Here is an 18733-nt window from a genome sequence, read left to right on the forward strand (position 1 = left end):
CTATGTTTGCAGCTCGATTTTACTGGCTGCTCTTTGTTAGACAAGAAAATGATTTGGGGGCTACTTTTCCTTAAAAGGAAAACCTTACTGAGGACTTCTTACCCTTACTATCTGCCTAAATAGTATTCTCTTAACTCCTATATCACAAGCAGGGTAATTAGCATATCCATCACCTCCAGCATTTATTATTCTTTGTGTTGGGAATATTAAAAATCCTCTCTTGTAGCTATTTGAAAATATATAATAAATTATATTTAACTGTAGTCACCCTACAGTGCTACAGAACACTAGGATTTATTCTTCCAATCTAGATCTTACCTTTGTAACTGTTAACCAACCTTTCTCTATACCACCGTCCCACACCACACCTTTCCCAGCCTCTAGTACTCATTGTTCTGTTCTCTACTTCTGTGAGATCAACTTTTTTCTCTTCCACATATGAGTGAGAACATGCAGTATTTATCTTTCTGAACCTGGCTTATTTCAGTAAGGGTATTGTTTAGTAAAACTTTCATATGCGTCTGTTTATGTGCAAACATACACCTGTGCACAAATATATTAGTAGGTCATGATATAAAATGGATGACAAAGGTTGTAGAACACTGTGCTAGGTGGTCAGCTCTCCAAAGGGTAAGGAGCACGTGGATTTTGTGAATCCGTCTATCCCTAACACTGTAACCAGTTCATAGTTGGCACTCAGTAAGTGTTTGTAGATTGAGCCCTCAACTCAATCATGGAAACAGTGGAACCACTAATACAGATGGGAATGTATATCCCTAAGGTGTGTCATGTAGGAAAAAGATTTAGAATTATTGCCTTCCCAGATGAGTGATAATCACTGTTATGAAAATTATCCACTACTGATATCTTCCCTATAGACCCCTTAAGTAAAAAAATGTGGGACATGATTGTGACTAAACCTTCTTTAGTGGTTCTGAATAGTCCTAATGATGACTGCCTGCACTAATGAGGGAAGTGGAAGGAAACTTAGGGACAATGACCTGATCATTGTCATTCACAGGACACCTGAATGAGTGAAACTCCGGTGCCATTCTCAGTAAGCTTTTAAATGAGACTTAACAAGACACAGCCTCCTGGTAGACCTCCAGACTATAGTTGTTTTGGTTGTGGTTATTTTAATTAGTATTTATTTACATAATTAGCGATTATGTAAGTGGGTCCTACCATTTGTTGAAACCTCCTGGGGTCAGGCACTGTGCTAAATATTTTATGTACATAATCTTTTCAAATTATCAGTGAGTGATACCACCAAACTCTATGAGTGAGGTGGTAGTATTTTCATTTTCGGATGAAGAAACTAAAGCCAGTAAAGGTAGGTTAGTTTGCCCATGGTTTTCCAGTTGGTAAGTAGCAGACCTCAAACCCAAATTCAGGTCTGTTTGTTTCCAGAACTCCAAATCACTGTACTCAAATGCCCTTTCACACCCATACCTTCCATGGTGCTTTTCCCTATTCCAGGAAGTTCCATAATGTATAATAATATCTCTTCAGCAACCATTGCCAAGATTAGCTGATGATGCTCAGTCCAGTTTCATAATGTCTCAGTCCTTGCAGATTACAGAGATTACAGAGATTTGAAGGTAGGCTAAGGTTAGCATTTCTTGTAGACAACACCTCTTTTTTCAGGGGAAATTAGATTTTACCGTTTAAAAAGATGAAACCACTCAAAGGTGTGTACATTTTTGAAAAGTGCTTGCCTCTGAATTTTACCTTGCTATTTCATGCCATGTGTTATTTCCTTAGGCAGAGACTTTTTGATATGTCATTAAACAACTTTGAAAAAATGAATTTGGAAGGAAAATAAACCCAGAATATGTTATAAATTGCTTGTTGTGTTGGTTTTCTTTTACATGTATATGTGTGTGTGTGGTTTTTTTCTGTATGTGTGGTTGAAATCTTCGAAAGTACTGTTTGTCACATACCTGAGGACCTGTGTATTTCTTCTGGGTAGAAAAATGTGTGGTTTTGTTGTTGTTGTTCTTGTTTTTGAGATAGGGACTTGCTCCTTTGCCCAGGCTGGAGTGCAGTGGCATGATCATAGCTCGGTGCAGCCTTGGCCTCCATGACTTAAGTGATCATCTCACCTCAGCCTCCCAAGTAGCTGGGACTACAGGTGCAAGCCACCATACCTGGCTAATGTTTAAATTTTTGTGGAGTTGGGGTCTCGCTGCATTACCCAGGCTGGTCTCAAACTCCTGGGCTCAAGCTATCCTCCCACCTCAGCCTCCCAAAGTATTAGGATTACAGGCATGAGCCTCTGTGCCTACAGAATATTTTGTACTTAAAACTTTTGTATATATTATTAAGATCATCACTTGGTGAATGCTAATCGAGGGCCAAGAGTAGAAATTCACCCAAAGAGTTGAATAAGTTGTATGCAATGTACCAATAGTCACTGTGGCTAGAGAGAGCATGGTCTAAATAGGACCACTCAGAGGAGAACAGAGACCTGGGCCATTCCAGTTCTTGAAGATCCCAGTATACTTCAACAATAAAAATTTTATAAAACGACTACTTTTAGATATTCAGTTTTTCAGTGCATCTCTTTCTACATGAATAACTGTATTTGTAGATAGTGCCAAACATGCACATTTGAGATCCTTTTCGAATATGTATTTTCTCACACTCACAGACATACAGCGCACACATCATTTTACAGGTGAGACAGCTCATGTTCGGTGACCTATTAGCAAGACTGAGGACCTGAGCTTGGGTTCATTTCTTGATCTCCAGCTAGTTCCGCCTTCTTCTCTTCTGAAGGTCCCAGGTATTGGCTTGTTTGCTTATCTTATAACTGCTGCAAACTAGCTGTTCTTTCCAATCTTTTTTCTCTCTCTCCTGTACCAGGGTCAGAGAGGAAAATGGTCTCAGCTTTTCAGTTATCTTCTCAAGCCTAAATAAGCAAATATATCTGGTAGTTTTTTTTTTTGTTTTTTTTTTTTAAAGATATTTTCCCTTAACTTAGAAATGAAACAAATTTTCAGTGGAATAGAGAGGTGAGAAAGTAAGTAAAAAAGTGAAAACATCAACAGAAAGACAAGCCAGAGACGGGGAGAAAATATTTGCAAAAGACACATCTGATGAAGAACTGTTACTCAAAATATACAAAGAACTTTTTAAAACCTAACAATAAGAAAACAACCTGATTTTAAAAGTGGGTCAAAGATCTTAACAGACACCTCACCAAAGAAGATATACAGATGGCAAATAAGCATGTGAAAAGATCCTCAACATCATGTACCATTAGAGTTGCAAATTAGAACCGTTAAGATATCACTACCTACCTGTTAGAATGGTTGAAATCCCAAACACTGACAACACCAAATGCTGGTGAGAATGTGGAGCCATAGGAACTCTCATTCATTCTTGGTGGGAATGCAAAATGGTACAGCTACTTTGGAAGATGGTTTTGCAGTTTCTTGTAGAATTAAACATGCTGTTACCATATGATGCAGCTGTCTCTCTCCTTGGCATTTATCCAGGGGAGTTGAAAACTTATGTCTGCACAAAAACCTGCACATGGAACAGAAGCTTATAGCAGCTTTATTTGTAATTATCAAAACTCGGAAACAACCAAGATGTCCTTCAGTAGGTGAATGGATAAATGTGGTACGTTGACACAATGAAATATTATTCAGTGCTAAAAAGATATGAGCTATCAAACTATGAAAGGGCATGGAGGATTCAATCTTAAATGCATTATACTAAGTGAAAGAAGCCAGTCTGGAAAGGCTACATACTTTATGATTTCAACTCTATGTCATTGTAGAAAAAGCAAAACTTTGGAGACAGTAAAAAGATCAGTGGTTATCAGGGACTTCGTGGGAGGGAAAAATAGGCAGAGCACAGAGCATTCTTAGGGCAGTGAAATTATTCTGTATGATTTACAATGGTGACTATATGTCATTGTACATTTGTCAAGGCCCATAGAACAGGTTTTGAAGTTGATGTGATGTTGACAGTCCCCGGGGAGGCTGTGCCTGCGTATAGAAAGCAGCGTATGGGAATTCTCTGTACTTTCCACTTGATTTTGCTCTGAGCCGGAAACTGCCCTGAAAAATAAAGTCTATATTTAAAAGAATAGTCGTAGATACTAGACACAGCATTTTTATCAGCATTTTAAAATATACTATATGCAAAGATAATATTATATGGTCAAGAATAACTCCTTAATGTATAAATTTAAAAGCACCATGAAATCTCTTAAGAAACAATCAGAAGTTTTATAAAATTTTAAAAAAGGAAAGTGAGGAAAATGCCTAAATTAAACAGTAAAACACACCCAGTTATTCAACACCAGGTGGCGACTGGACTGGGTCTGGATTTTTCTTAGCTTGCCTGACTCTGTGACTGCTGCTCTCTGCTTTCTTGGGCTCCTTCTCCCTCAATCTTCCTGTTTCCAGAACAGATGCTTTTTATGTCCTCTTGCCTGTGGTGACATCCCAGGATCCCTTCCATCTGCAGTTTTTTCTTACCTGTTAAACTTTATGAGGAGGAAAGGAGAAAATATTGATTATTTACCTGTTTTGTAATAGGCATTATAATAGATGCCTGTTGTAATCTCTTTTAATCCTCACAATAACCCACATGAAGGAGTGTTATTCTCCCCATTATATATATTAATAACTAATGTGAAAGATGATATAATTTGTTGAAGGCCAGTGAATTGTAAGTGATGTAGTTTGGATATAAACCTTGGTTTCAAAATTCAAGACACGGTAATCTGTCCATTCTGTAAGAAGCAAGCACATAAGTGCTAATGATGAGTGTTTGGTCACACACAAAAAATAAAGATTTACTAACACATTTATTTAAGAAAACTCAGACTTAAGCTACATTTGGTTCTTAAGTGTCTTCTTCAAAAAGAAAGGCAATCTTGGGTAATTCCTCACCTGACTTTTAGAAGTGTGCTAGACCTCTGTCTTTTAAAAATGTTCAGCCTACGTTTATTTTTATTATTCTTGTTCTTCATGGTATCTTTCTTTCCTTTTCTCCTTTTTTGAGATCCATTAAGGATTTTACTGTGATTTATAAACTTTCTTCTGGAATGGTGGTTCTCCACCTGAGGTGATTTTATTCCACAGGGATCATTTGGCAATATCTGGAGACATTTTTCATTGTTACAGCTGGGAGAGGGTGCTACTGGCATCTAGAGGGTAGAGCCGAGGGCCGCTGCTAAACATCCTACCCTGCAGAAGACAGCCGCCTCAACACAAAATTATCTAGCACAAAACGCCAGTAGCTCAAGGTTGAGAAATGCTGAACTAGAGGTGTGGGCTTATTATCAGGATAGCATAGCACTGGATTCCCATTAGAATCCATAGTGTCTTCATAGCACTGGATTCCCGTTAGAACATTTCATGCAGCCTGGTGCTTCAATTACCTGGCTTCCCTTTTTGTAGCATTGGCATTAGAATATAGTTTAGTCTGACTACAGAAGGGAGAAAATACCTATGTAACAAAATAGGTGAACTGACAGAATTTTGGTAAAAGAGATAAAACATAGTAGGGTGATAGGTCTACACATTTTAAAAGCCAGTTTGCAGTCAGTGTTGAATTTTATAGTTTAATTGTGCAATTTAAACTGTTTGTTTATTCTCCATGAGTGTTTCACGTTATGCCTTTGTGCCTGCTTCAGTGCTGGGGGACAGACCTTCTACCCTCCTGGTTCATGTTGCCTCTGTCTTCCATTCCTCTTTGCTGGAATGTGTAGTTGTGGTAACTGTGACAATTCCTAAGGTTTCTGACAGTTTTTGAACACCACAATGGTGCTGTAAATTCCTGTCTTGGCCAGGAGATGGACACCACATTTTGATGGTTTCTCAAACCGTGTGTGACCTTTTCCTGGTTTCTCTGTTCTGTCAGTCATGGCATGGCTGGACAGAATTCAGGGACATCTATCAGGCCTCTCAGGAGCAATTAAATTATTTTCATGAAGGCAATTTGCAGTTGTAAACAATATTGAAGACACTGTGTGGCATTTCTCATTAGCTAAAAAAAAAAAAAAAAAGATAGTGGCAACAATACAGGATTATCTGACTCGATAATTAGCCAGGCATGGTGGCACACGCCTGTAATCCCAGCTACTCAGGAGGCTGAGGCAGGAGAATTGCTTGAACCCGGGAGGTGGAGTGAGCCAAGATCTAACCACTGCACTGCAGCCTGGGCAACAGAGCAAGACTCTGTCTCAAAAAAAAAAAAAGATTAAAAATAATAATTAGGAGGGAGAATAAACGACATCTTGGTTTTTTAAAAGTCCTTTTTATGCCATTAAAGTGTGGCTTGTGGTTTATTATTACATTTGTATGCAACCTTGGTACTGACATTTTTATCAAAAGATATTGGAGAGATTTCAGGAATGAGGAGTTACATTCCCTTTATATCTTGTTGCCAGAAATTACTCTTAAGCAAAATAAATTCTGCCTGAAATAAAAATAAAATGAGAACACAGCATATGCGTGTTTTTGGCTCTGTGATCTATGCAAATAGTTATGTATTAACTCATTAATTAAAATGGGCTTATTCTACACACACATTTCTACCATTGGATTTTTCTTCTTAAAAAATAAGCAGAGCAGAGTGGGGAGGCGGCAAGAGGACCTGTGGCAGGCCCTCTTCGGCCATCTCTCTGGCCTGGTTTCCCTCGGCGTGCCACTGTGTGCTCAGTCCAGCACCATGGGGAAGCGGGACAATCGGGTGGCCTATATGCACCCAATAGCAATGGCGAGATCAAGGGGTCCAATCCAGTCTTCAGGGCCAACAATACAGGATTATCTGAATTGACCAAGGCCTACCTGGGAAGAAGTAAAAGAGCAACTAGAAAAGAAAAAGAAAGGTTCCAAGGCTTTGGCTGAATTTGAAGAAAAAATGAATGAGAACTGGAAGAAAGAACTGGAAAAACACAGGGAGAAATTGTTAACTGCAAGTGAGAGCTCATCCAAAAAAAAGACAGAGAAAGAAAAAAGAAAAGAAGAAATCTGATAGGTATTCATCTTCTTCATCAAGCTCTGATTCTTCCAGCAATTCTTCTGATTCTGAAGATGAGGATAAGAAACAAGGAAAATGAAGAAAGAAAAAGAAGAACCGTTCACATAAATCTTCTGAAAGCTCCATGTCAGAAACTGAATCAGACAGTAAGGATAGTTTAAAAAAGAAAAAGAAGTCAAAAGATGGAACTGAGAAAGAAAAGGATATTAAAGGACTCAGCAAAAAGAGAAAGATGTATTCTGAAGATAAACCTTTATCATCTGAGTCCTTGTAAGAATCAGAGTATATTGAGGAGGTGCGAGCAAAAAAGAAGAAAAGCAGTGAAGAACGAGAAAAAGCAACAGAAAAAACAAAAAAGAATAAGAAGCATAAGAAACACAGTAAGAAGAAAAGGCTGTTAGTTCAAGTCCTGACTCACCATAACATTAAGAAAAATCAGGATTCCCTTATAAAGAAAGTGCAATGTCTGAGGAAATTTCAACTGTGAAAACTACAACATATTTACTAACATGCATGAATTTTCTTGTTTTTAGAATTATTCCTGGACTATTCAGTAGCCACTCAGATGCTACTGTGTGAAAGGGCCATAAATGTTGCCTGCTGCTTGAACATCTATTTTTTTCTCTTCCAGTGCTTGATAACTCTGGGAGATAATACACTGCAGTCATACTAGTGGTTAAGATATTTGGGAATAAAATTAATACTTTTGACTAGAAATGTCTAAGGATAAACCAACAGAAATTGAATCTGGATACATCTTTAAGATGTAATCAGAAATGACCAGATGACTCTAGTTAAAATTTTTGAAGGAGGGATTACATTAATATTTCAAAACCCTTACTCTGTAAGATAAGTGTAGTTTAATTTTTTTCCCCTCGTATACTTTTATTTACCTGGGGAAGGAGCTTTTAGGGTTGGGGGGGTGGTTTGCTATCTCTTTAGCTAGCAGAATAGTGTGCCTTTGATCCTCACACATCCTGTATTATGAACACAGTAGCCATACTTCACGGGGAGGTCAGAGCTGGCTACCAGCAGTCTTGCCCTTTACTGAGCTTAGTGTCATCCTTGGATGCTGTCATATGCTGCTTTGAGTGAACCAGAGAAACAGCCATTTGCAGCATGAGAAAGCCCCAAAAGCTCTGGGATTTACCTCCACTTCAGTAATAATGAATATTTTTTAGCATTAGAATGTGTTAGGTCATTTGAATTAATTTTTACTACACTTTGGCTTGGGAGAGGAATTATTTTAAATAGACACTGGTACTTTTCGAACTTGATAGCTAAAGATTCTAAAATGCATGTTTTATACTAAGTTTTAACCAGTCAGGAAAATTTTATGTAACCAGTGATAGTTTATTTTTTTGTATGAATTTTGTTTAGGCTACAATGTTTAGCTTTTGTTAACTCCTCACTCTTGCTGTCTTAAGTTCATTACTATGTTTAATGGCGTACTTGCCAAGATATTTAGCATGTAAAAAGCAGGGTTTTGATTAAAAAAAAAAAAAAACAGCTTCATATTGAAGCTGAGACTTACAATAACAAGTTGAGTGGCAAGCCTGGTATGCTGTGTCTTATTGCCAGAATCTTAGTAAATGTAATGTTTTAAAAGTTTATTGTCTTTGTATATTAATAACAAAGTATGACAAGTTAAGTTTAAATAAGAGTTAAAAAAATAAGCAGAGAACTTCTTCTATATAAGCACGTAAACAGTAATACCATTATTTTTGTAGCTGCATGAAATACCATTGCATGTATATGTAGGATATGGCTATAATATACATTTCAACAGATTTGATGACATTGGGTTGTTTTCTCTTTTGTCTACAATGAATTTCAAATTTAGTTGCCTACTTTTACACATTTTTTATGTTGCGTAAATTCTTAAAAGTAGAATTTTTAGGTCACAGGATATGAGTAACTTTAATATTTTTTAGGATTGTCACCTTGTCCTTCCAAATGACTCTTGAACTCCTACTAGGCAGGGGCTGGATTCTGGAAAGAGAAACAATTGTTCTTGCTCCTCTTTGCCAATACTGTGCTTTCCTGTCCTAGGCCAATCTAAATGGTGGAAAAAAAAAACAACAACAAAAAAACAAAAAAAACCTCATGTTGTCATATGCACTTTCTTAATAGAAAAGTTGAGCATTGTTTAATCTGTTTGTGGAACACTTATTTATATCACTCTGTGAATTGTTTGCCCTTCCCTTTTGTTGGTTTATTCATATTCTTTCCCTATGTTAGTGAGTTGTTGTCTTAGTTCATTTTGGCTACTATACCAAAATACCTTAGCCTGAGTAATTTGTAAACAACAGAAATTTATTGCTTCCAGTTCTGGAGACTGGGAAGTGCAAGATCAAGGTGCTGGCAGATTTGGTGTCAGGGCCTGTTCCTCATAGGTGGCACCTTCTATGTCTTCACATGGTAGAAGGGGCAAAAAACCTCCCTCACATCACTTTTATAAGGGCACTAATGCTATTTAGGAGGATGCAGCCCTTATGACTTAATCACCTTCCAAAGTCTCCACCTCTTAATACTGTCAGCATTGGGGGTAGGTTTCAACATAGGAATTTTGTGGGCATATAAACATTCAGACTGTAGCACTTGTTCATCTTTTTTTTCCTGGTAAAATTAGACTTTTAAATTGTTTTTTCTATTGTTTGTCTTGCCCAAACTGTTCCCTCCTCGCCACCAATGCTTATTTACAAGTAATTGATGGATAATTTCTATATCAAACTAGAATGAAATGAATTGACCTTAAATACTAATAATGTGTTAATTTTTGAAGGACTATAGGAAAGTATGTATTAACATTAAGGCCATTGGATTTCCAAAATAAATTATCTAAAGACTAGGTCCTCAATATTAATAGCATGGAAATGTGTGTGTGTGTGTGTGTGTGTGCGCGCGCGCGTGCGCGCGTGCGCACGCCCGCGTGCTTATGGGTATGTGTGTGTGCGTGCATGTTTGCCCTGATATGAGAATTACTTACTGTATTATACAATAGTCATTGAATTTCTGAGTTTTCTTGGTGTAACAGAAAGATGATACAATAAGTTGTTTGGTTTTATTTCTATGTGTTGGGATTTGAATTCTAATTTTAGGGTAAAATTTCTGAATTTTTTCTAATCCATTATATTCAAGGGAAGGAGGACATATAAACTTCAGTATGTTATTTTGAATTGGCTCATATTCCATTTCTACTTTGTCTCCATTTCTAGAATGGTATCCATATGTAAAAGTATTTAATTTTTGGTATGGTTTACTTTCTCTTTAACACTCAGTTTAATTAACTGAGAACAAAATTCACCTTCTGTGCTGTGCAACTTCAGAGGTGCCAAAATAGCACCTTATATTAAAAAATATCTTGGAAATATTTTTGAGTGCTTTGAATAAAGTTTTTCCAGCAACATTGATTTATATTTTGTTCCTCAACTCATTATGCTACTTTACACCTGGGTTGTGTCTGCTATGGAAGGGCATCCTCCATCCTCCCTTTTCCAACTGGCCAACTCCTACTCATCCTCACACATCCATCCCAGGTGGCATGTCTTCCTGGAAAGCTTCACACACACCTCCAGATGGAGCCTAACACTCTCTTTCTTGCACCAGCTCAGCACCTTATTCATGCTTACATTTGGGCACTTTTCTTTTTTTTTTTTGAGACGGAGTCTCGCTCTGTCGCCCAGGCTGGAGTGCAGTGGCGGGATCTCGGCTCACTGCAAGCTCCGCCTCATTTGGGCACTTTTCATGCTTGTATTGCATCAGCCTAGACATTTGCCTTTTCTTTGGACTTTGAGCTCATGGACCTATGTCAAAGACCAGTATGTCTTATTCCTTTCCATGTGCGCAGTGCCTGCCAGAAAGTTGGAGTGATAAATTATGAGTTAAAGTTTACATTATCATTAGATTTAGGATAAATTTGAAGTTAATTCAACAGTTATTTAAGTTATTCTGTTATCTTTTGAATAACTTTTGAGAAAGTAAAAAATGGCCCTGGCAGCTGACAGGCCACATAATGTTCCCAACTGAACATAAATACCTCTTGCAGAATATAAATAATCAGACAAGCCTACTTCTTGAGTATGTCTGAAACAAGACTGAGAAAGGACCCTTTCCAACTACAAAAGTAATTAAACATCCCTCTCTTATGACTGACATGAATGATTGCTGCTTCTTTACCGATGATGACTCCAACTCAGCTTTAATCCTCTGCTTTCTAGATTAAATTTGCCAAGATAATCAGTGAATTGTCCCTACCTCCTGACAGCTCCCAGTCCAAACCTGGCCTTTAGTTTCTTAAACCTTTCTTGGAATCACCCAAAACAAACTGAAATAGTATCCTAAGTATCCACCAGTTTCTTAAAATTCTCCAGTTACTTTGGTGTACTCTTTCTTGCTGTCGTAAGTGAATGAAAGCTCAATTTATTTACTACAAGAGTGTTCCTGGTGGTCTTTGATTAGTGGGCACTAGAGTGAGTGTTGGAGTAATTTAAGAAAGAAACATTTATCTCAGTCTCTGCCCTTTGGATACTTAGAGTTTGCCTGGGGATTCTGGCCCTACTTGCTTTAAATAAACCTTTAAAGTGGCATTGTTTGCTGTCAAGACTAGAGTAGAGGAGAAGAGTGCAAGTCACAGCTAAGGAAAATATTCCTTAAGTATTGATAATTTCTAGTGTGGATCTCAAAGGGCTGGGGCATTCTGTGTGGGAAAGGCTGAGAGCTGGGGAGAATCATTATGTGTTACAGGAAGAGAGGAGACTATTTTTTGAAAGGGAAAGTATTTGAAGACTTGGTGGCCAATAAGGTTGGACAGGTAGAGGAGATCGGTGACAGCCGGTGACCTTGTGAGAACTCATCTACAGACAGTGAAAATCCCGGGGTTCGGGGTGGACACAGGAGATAATTAGTAGGAAGGGGTTAAAATACTGAAAGATGAGTATAGTAGGTCGTATTTGATGACAGGAGGATCAGAGAGTCTTTTTTGAAAGATGAGTCAGCAGGACATGGTAACTTGATAAGAGCAAGGAATTGGGTGGTGGGCTGCTGTAGCAGATGCTTTTGATATGGTCTTGGCCCACCTGTGAGTTCACCCACAGTGGACATCTCCCATGCATGCCAACAGCTTTCCATCTCAAGGGCCTGATCTGTGCTTCTCTACCGGAGCACATTGTCAGCCCTGTGGAAATTTACTCTTGCTGCAGAGCAGCCTCGAAGTATAACCTTTACTCAGTGAAGGGCTGGAGTCAGAACACAAATGCCCATTTTCCCCTTCTCTTCGTGGGACAATTCTGAAGCACATTATTTATGTCTTTTCAGAACATCCTAGGGACATTGACCCCCAGCAGGAATGTGGCATACCACCCCCTTCCATGGTTTTTCTCTCTCCCCAGTCAGGCTTTCCTCACTTCCTAACTTATGCTCCCTGGGATCACCTCCCCAGTTCACTATGCCAGACTAACCAACCCAAGTTCTTATCTCAAGGTGACTTTTGGGGGAACCCAAACTAAGATGGGTATCTTGGATAATTGGGTTAATTATTATGCCATGGAAAAATGGAATTGGGATTCTTTCCCAGGTTAATTAATGACTGCTGTCTAGTGAAAAAATGACTACAGTCATCTCAAGTGTATTTTATATATCAGTGCAGGAATATGGCAAAATGCTTTAGAATTCGTGGCTTGTTTTGAGGAAAAAAAATATGCTCCAAACCATCTGCAAAAGTATTACAGTGATCTCAAGTGGAACATAGGCACTTGAAGCAGTTTCCAGGCACATTAGATTGTTGTCAACAAGAAGAAAAATATATGCCATGGGGAGGAGCAAGAAGAAAGAGAGGGTCTAGAAATCCATGATTTTAGCAAGTCAGGAAAAATAATTTTCAGCACGTAAGCAGGGCAGGATCCCTGAGCTCCTTCACCTGGAAGTCATCCAGGTGGTTTAAGATTCTCAGGCTATTGGCAACTATGATGTGGCTCCTGCCAGGTTAAGGAGCATTGATGATTGATCACAAGGGAAAGGACCCAGCCATATGATTGTTTCTGTCAGCTTGTACTCTCCTGAAAGTCATGGTTAATGACTTGAGCCAAGTTAGGAAAAATATTTCCGTTACTAACAATATAGTTGTTAAGTATGCTCCATGGGGATTCTGAAATATTTACTTGACAGTAATGAGCTTTAGAATTTCATTCTTTTCCTATGATTCTTCATGATCACATTTGCATCCAGATCTTTGAACACTCAGCACTTGATGGAGTTTAATAGACTAATGGCAAGAAAATTGCTCATAAGTAAAGGAAGCAGTGAATCCATCCGGTTTCCATGAGCAGTCATACCTGAGTTCTTCAGCAATTGGAACAGATGCGTCACTGAAAAGATGCCTGCACTGGGGTGGTCCTATCCATTACATTCTCTTAGGAAATGAAGCCCTGGCTTTCCTTAGCCCTGTGATCTATTTTGAACCTTATTCTAGCGGAGAAGGAATAGTGTTTATTGATTTTTTTTCTCCTGTTGTCTATTATTTAGAGATTCTTAATTCTACTAAAATAAGTTGGGAGAACACATATTGTTTGTTTAGTATTTAATAAATTTTGGAGAATCCATATAATCACTTTACAGTATTCTCATCAATCACATGAATTAAGTAATAAAATAATAAAACATTTGAATTCTTAGGAACATGTATTTTTTAATCAGAAAATATTCACCTCCGTGGTTAGCAAACCTCATATACAGGAAAATAAAATTAGGCCATGATCACGTTAGTTATCTCTGAGAGAGCACTTTTAGAAATAATAATCTAGAGGACAATGATCAGAAAAGGAAGAAGTAGCAACTAATACTTAAGGATACCTACCTATGAAAGAAGATGGTAATAGATAGGGTAGTTTCTTGGTGCATCAGTGGGTTGAGGTGAAATAAGTTTATTTTATAGTTTTGTTTTTGTTTCCTTTAAGAATAAAGGAAGCTTATTTGAGTGAGCTTCTAGACTGAGGAAGTGTAGATTGACAATAGAGGAAATTAGAGGGTGGTGTTTAACCTGGAGCGACCCCTTGCAGGGGTAGATTTAAGGTAACAGGTGTTAAGGCTGTGGTTAACTAGTTTTGGGCTTGTTCACCTCACTTTGTGAATTCTTCCACTGACACTTTGCTCATTTTATTGAAATAACTGATTTCAATTTCTGGTTTCTAGTCTTCAGTTCTGCTAGGTATGGTCTCAGACTTAATGATGAAAACTGTTGATTCTGCCAGACACATGCCCAATAAAATGCTTAGCTTTTAGCAGATCCTCAATAAATATTTATTAAAACTAATTTGAACATATTTTCCTGAGTTTGGGAAGAAGGGAGTGAGACAAATAAAAATTATAATGTATTTGATGTAAACTGGAGAAAATTCAGTGTAAATTCCCTCTACTTTCCTCAGTCTGTTTGGAGATAAAGTCATCTCCTGGGAGAATAAGGGGATGGATTAGAGACTCGAAGACACTGGGGAGTGTTCAGAACAGCTGCTTATGGAAAATGCATGGAAAAAAATTAAAAACTTGCCAAGATGAACTGAATATCCAGCTGAGGCTGCATGGTATGAACTTGTTGAGTTTCTTAGGATAGTTCTATGCCTTTTTCTAGTTCTTTGGTCACTCAAAAGTGGAGAAAGCAGAGAGGGGTTATCTTTGGTGAGACGGGTATGGCAGAAAGCCTGAGGACTGGGGATTTTGGAGTGTTTGATAAAAAGATGAAATGTTCAGCTGAAGGTTGTGATGGCACAGAGAGAATTTCAAGCCAGCAGGAAGGCTAGAGAGGGCAGGGGCTGGAGTCATAATAAGCTAGAAAACTTATTATGTGTTCTCTAGCTTGTTGCCTGTGGGGTTGAGGACATTCAAGATTGTGTTGGTAGGAGGCTGTAGCCACAGAAGGAATGATAGCTTAAAAATCTTAAGAGGTTGAGTGGTCTGGATTGTGATAAAGTGCAATTTACAGCTGGGCTTATGGGTTGCTAATGTGTAATTACTCTCACAATTTGGCAATTCTCAGCATCTTTAGGAGTGTTGTCTAGCAAAATTAAATTAGATTCTTTAAACAAGCAAAAAGAAACTTGTTAATGAATTACAACCAAGTAAGATGGAAACAGTTAGTGTCAACATGATGAGTTTGTGAGATTCTATGTGACTTTAAGACTTTGAGCAGCCAAGCTAATGTTCAGTTCAAAGTAATTGAATTTCATGTATGGAAGAATGCCTTATGAAACAGCCGATCAGTGCTTTTGCTAGCCAGTTTTGAAATGTTACATGTCCAAACACCTCATAACTTATGCATGTTCTCCAGTGAGAATTACATCATAGGTTGAAAGAAAATAAATGCATCCATGATTCTTAGATGTTACATAATCTAAGCACTTAATAACTTCCTAGTTACATAATCTGTAGTTATTATATAATCTCATGGCTCTTTACAAAGGGGGAAATCAAACTATTCTCAGAGAAATTCAATTGGATGATTGGATGAAAGAACTCTGTGTCTGTGTGTGTGTGTATATGTGTGTATGTGTGTGTGTGTGTAATTTTGCACATATACAAATACTTAAGTGCTGGTTAGAATTGATCTGACCCTCTCCCTGACTGCTTTTCCCAGCCCACTCCAATGAACAACTGGGTCATCTTTCAGCTCCAGAACATTAAAAGTTGTGACCTGTGCCATCCCAGGACTATGTACAGGATTCCTTGGAGTCATAAGGAATGTTCTTCATTCTTCCAGCCATTTCACTCTGTTCCTGGCTTTTGGCTCTGCCCCAGTAGTTATGCTTAGCCCTACTTGCCCTGTCAGCAGCTCCTGAACCAGTTGCAGGTTCAGTTGGTGACTTCAAGATGGGGACACTGGCTTACAGACTGGCAGTCACCAGAACACATCTGTCCAGAGCCCCGGTTGCCCCGGTCCTGTTGAAACAGGCGCTGCACCTTCAGGTCTCTATTTTCCTTGCACCTCCGATTACTCATCATGGTGGAGTCTGGGTAAGAAGGAAGTTGAAGAGATGAAAGCAGATAGAGTTCCTGAGGATCTCATTGCCAGTCGTGGCTGTCTATTCCCTCCCTTGGCAGCCCAGTGTCTCATTTGAGGTTAGACACCTGTCTGGTGCAGATGTAAACTGATATACCTACCTCCCCATTTGCAGCAGGAATCTGGAGTCTCCTATGGCAATTTTGTGGGGGTTGATTTTGGGAGACTTTTATCTAGACATTTCTGCCTTGTTTAACGTGTGGCTTACTTTCCTGTTCTGTGCATGTTATTATGTATTACTGGCATAATAACATGCACAGAATGCATGTTATTTCCTTTTGGAGCACATTGTTGCAAATATCGATCATGCAAGACATGTACATTTGTGGCAGACTCTTAAATGTGTAAGGATGCAGTGAGGTTTTACTTAGCCTGATCGTTCCATCTGTGACTTCCACTTCCTTGCCGTCCCTGCCCTACTACAATTCCCAACTGCAGACTCTGCCCAGATGTAATTCAGCAAACATTTTAAAATACCAAATTTTCTCTCTACCTCTGTCTTGACTGTGGTCCTCATTGTGCTTCTTTCAAGTATGGATCATCTAGTCTCCATCCTTGTTTGTGAAGTTGTCCTGTCCTTCACATATTTTTAAGAGGGGAGAGGAGCAACGCGGAACTGTATTTCACCGCTAGAGTGAACATACCATATCAGAAGGCAGAAATGTGTATTTTTGTAATTACACAGCATGTGTTTTTGTCTGTGGGTTTGCTTATTTTGCAAACAAATCCACATGGTTTACTTGCTAGTCTTCTTGAATTTTTCAGATGGTGAGCCTGTGGATCCTCATCTCATCCAAGATGACTTCCTGGCCACCTCAGGCCATGTTAAACAACCTGGAATGCTAGTATTACTACCAGCAGTGTCTGAGGGAGACATCCCAGAGGCTGATGGTTTTCTAGAATCATGTTTTCAGGGAAAAGGGAATAATTTTTTTATGATGAAGTAAGTTCTTAAAAAATTGCCTTATTCTTTTGGTTAATGTTTCTTAACAGCTTTGTGGGGAATGGTTGCACACTTTATAAAGTTTCCTTTACAATTGGGGAACTTGGAGACCAACTTTAATGTTGATTGTTAAGGCTATTTCACTTATAAAATTTAGCTAGCTGTTAAAAAATTTCTCTGCTGTATTTCTTATATCCACAAGGGATTAGAATCTATTGCTTTTGCAATGTAATTTTAATTAGACTGCAAATTCAATCATCTGACTAACTCTTCCCTTGTCATTTAAAATTGTTTGCAAGCTTGAATGGGAAAAGTTAAAAATGAGACCAGATAAGCATGTGCATTTTCATTCAGATAAGACTACCCACAATGGATTTAATCATTTAACCAGTTTTAATAATAATAATAATAGTGAAAATTACATAATTTATTGAACACTCACCTAGTCAGCTGTTGGATTTTACATGTCTTATAATTTATCTCATTCTTCTGAATAGCTATTCAATGAGATGAGCATCGCATCTCAAAGTCGAGAACAGGCTTAGAGAAGTTAAAGGAACTTCATATGTTTCCATTAACTTGTAGGTTCTTTGGCTGGGATTTGCACCTACAGTTCATCCATCTGGGCAACCCATCATCTTCACAGTGCTTAGAGCTTCTAGAATAGGACCCTGGCACTGCCGTTGTATACTCAAGTATCACATGTATATTTTTAAGCACTTTAATTGTTAAGTCTTTCTGATTTCAACAGGTAATGTTGCTATTATATGTCATGCACAAATAGGAGACAGCTGTTAGGCCTCCATCCATCCTGTGTCTGTTACTTACATACTGAAAAGAAATCAGCTGGTTGTGTTTTATTTGGGAGTGACTGGAATTGATCTGTGCCCATTTTTGTGTGTGATCATCTTAAAAATATATCTGTTACTATGGAATGTTCTGCAGTCACTTCTTAAGGTTGAATACACAGTTGATGGGAAATATCTTTTAATCTACATACAAAGGAGGAAGTTTACCACAGTGAAATTCAGACGTATAGACTGTTGTTGTACAAAATGGAACTTTTTCCTCCTAGAATTTGGCAGACTTTTGAGTCCAGGAGGAGGAGGGGTATATAGGTGGATGGAAGATTGAGGAAACATGAAGTTGCTTTAGAAATGTAAGGAGTTGATTAAAAAGTAAGTATAGATGCTTATTTTACAGAGCTTTGTAACTTTGTCTCACTAATGTTAACATTGGCCTTTAAAAAATGATAGAATTTAGTGTTGCTCTTTTCTTTACAAAGAAAACTATACCATAGAAAATGGAATTTTCTAGGGGACAGTAAGAAAATAATATATATATGATTTAAATTCTTTATTTTATTCATTTAATTCTCTTTGAGAAAACTTAGTGCATATGTATCCAAAGTCTGTAACCAGATTGTTAAGTTAAAAAATGGTTTTCAGGCTGCGCACAATGGCTCATGCCTATAGTCCCAGTACTTTGGGAGGCTGAGGTGGGCAGATCACTTGAGCCCAGGAGTTCGAGACCAGCCTGTGTACCATGGTGCAACCCCATTTCTACTAAAAATATAGAAATTAGCAGAGTGTGGTAGTGTGTGCCTGCAGTCCCAGCTACTTGGGAGGCTGAGGCAGGGGAATCACTTAAGCTCGGGAGACTGAGGCTACAGTGAGCCAAGATCATGCCACTGTTCTCCAGCCTGGGTAACAGAGCAAGATGCTGTCTCAACA

General features: G+C 38.3%; 1 protein-coding gene and 1 pseudogene across 13 annotated transcripts in view; both read left to right on the forward strand.

The window, feature by feature from the left end:
* Positions 1 to 18733, forward strand: part of BICC1 (BicC family RNA binding protein 1) — a 319216-nt gene that overhangs the window by 196638 nt on the left and 103845 nt on the right. The window lies entirely within an intron of this gene.
* Positions 6158 to 8677, forward strand: FAM133CP (family with sequence similarity 133 member C, pseudogene; annotated as a pseudogene). The gene has a single exon (NR_027508.1). The product of NR_027508.1 is annotated as a family with sequence similarity 133 member C, pseudogene (transcript).

The sequence above is a fragment of the Homo sapiens genome, chromosome 10 (genome assembly GCF_000001405.40).
Source record: "Homo sapiens chromosome 10, GRCh38.p14 Primary Assembly".
NCBI lineage: Eukaryota > Metazoa > Chordata > Mammalia > Primates > Hominidae > Homo > Homo sapiens.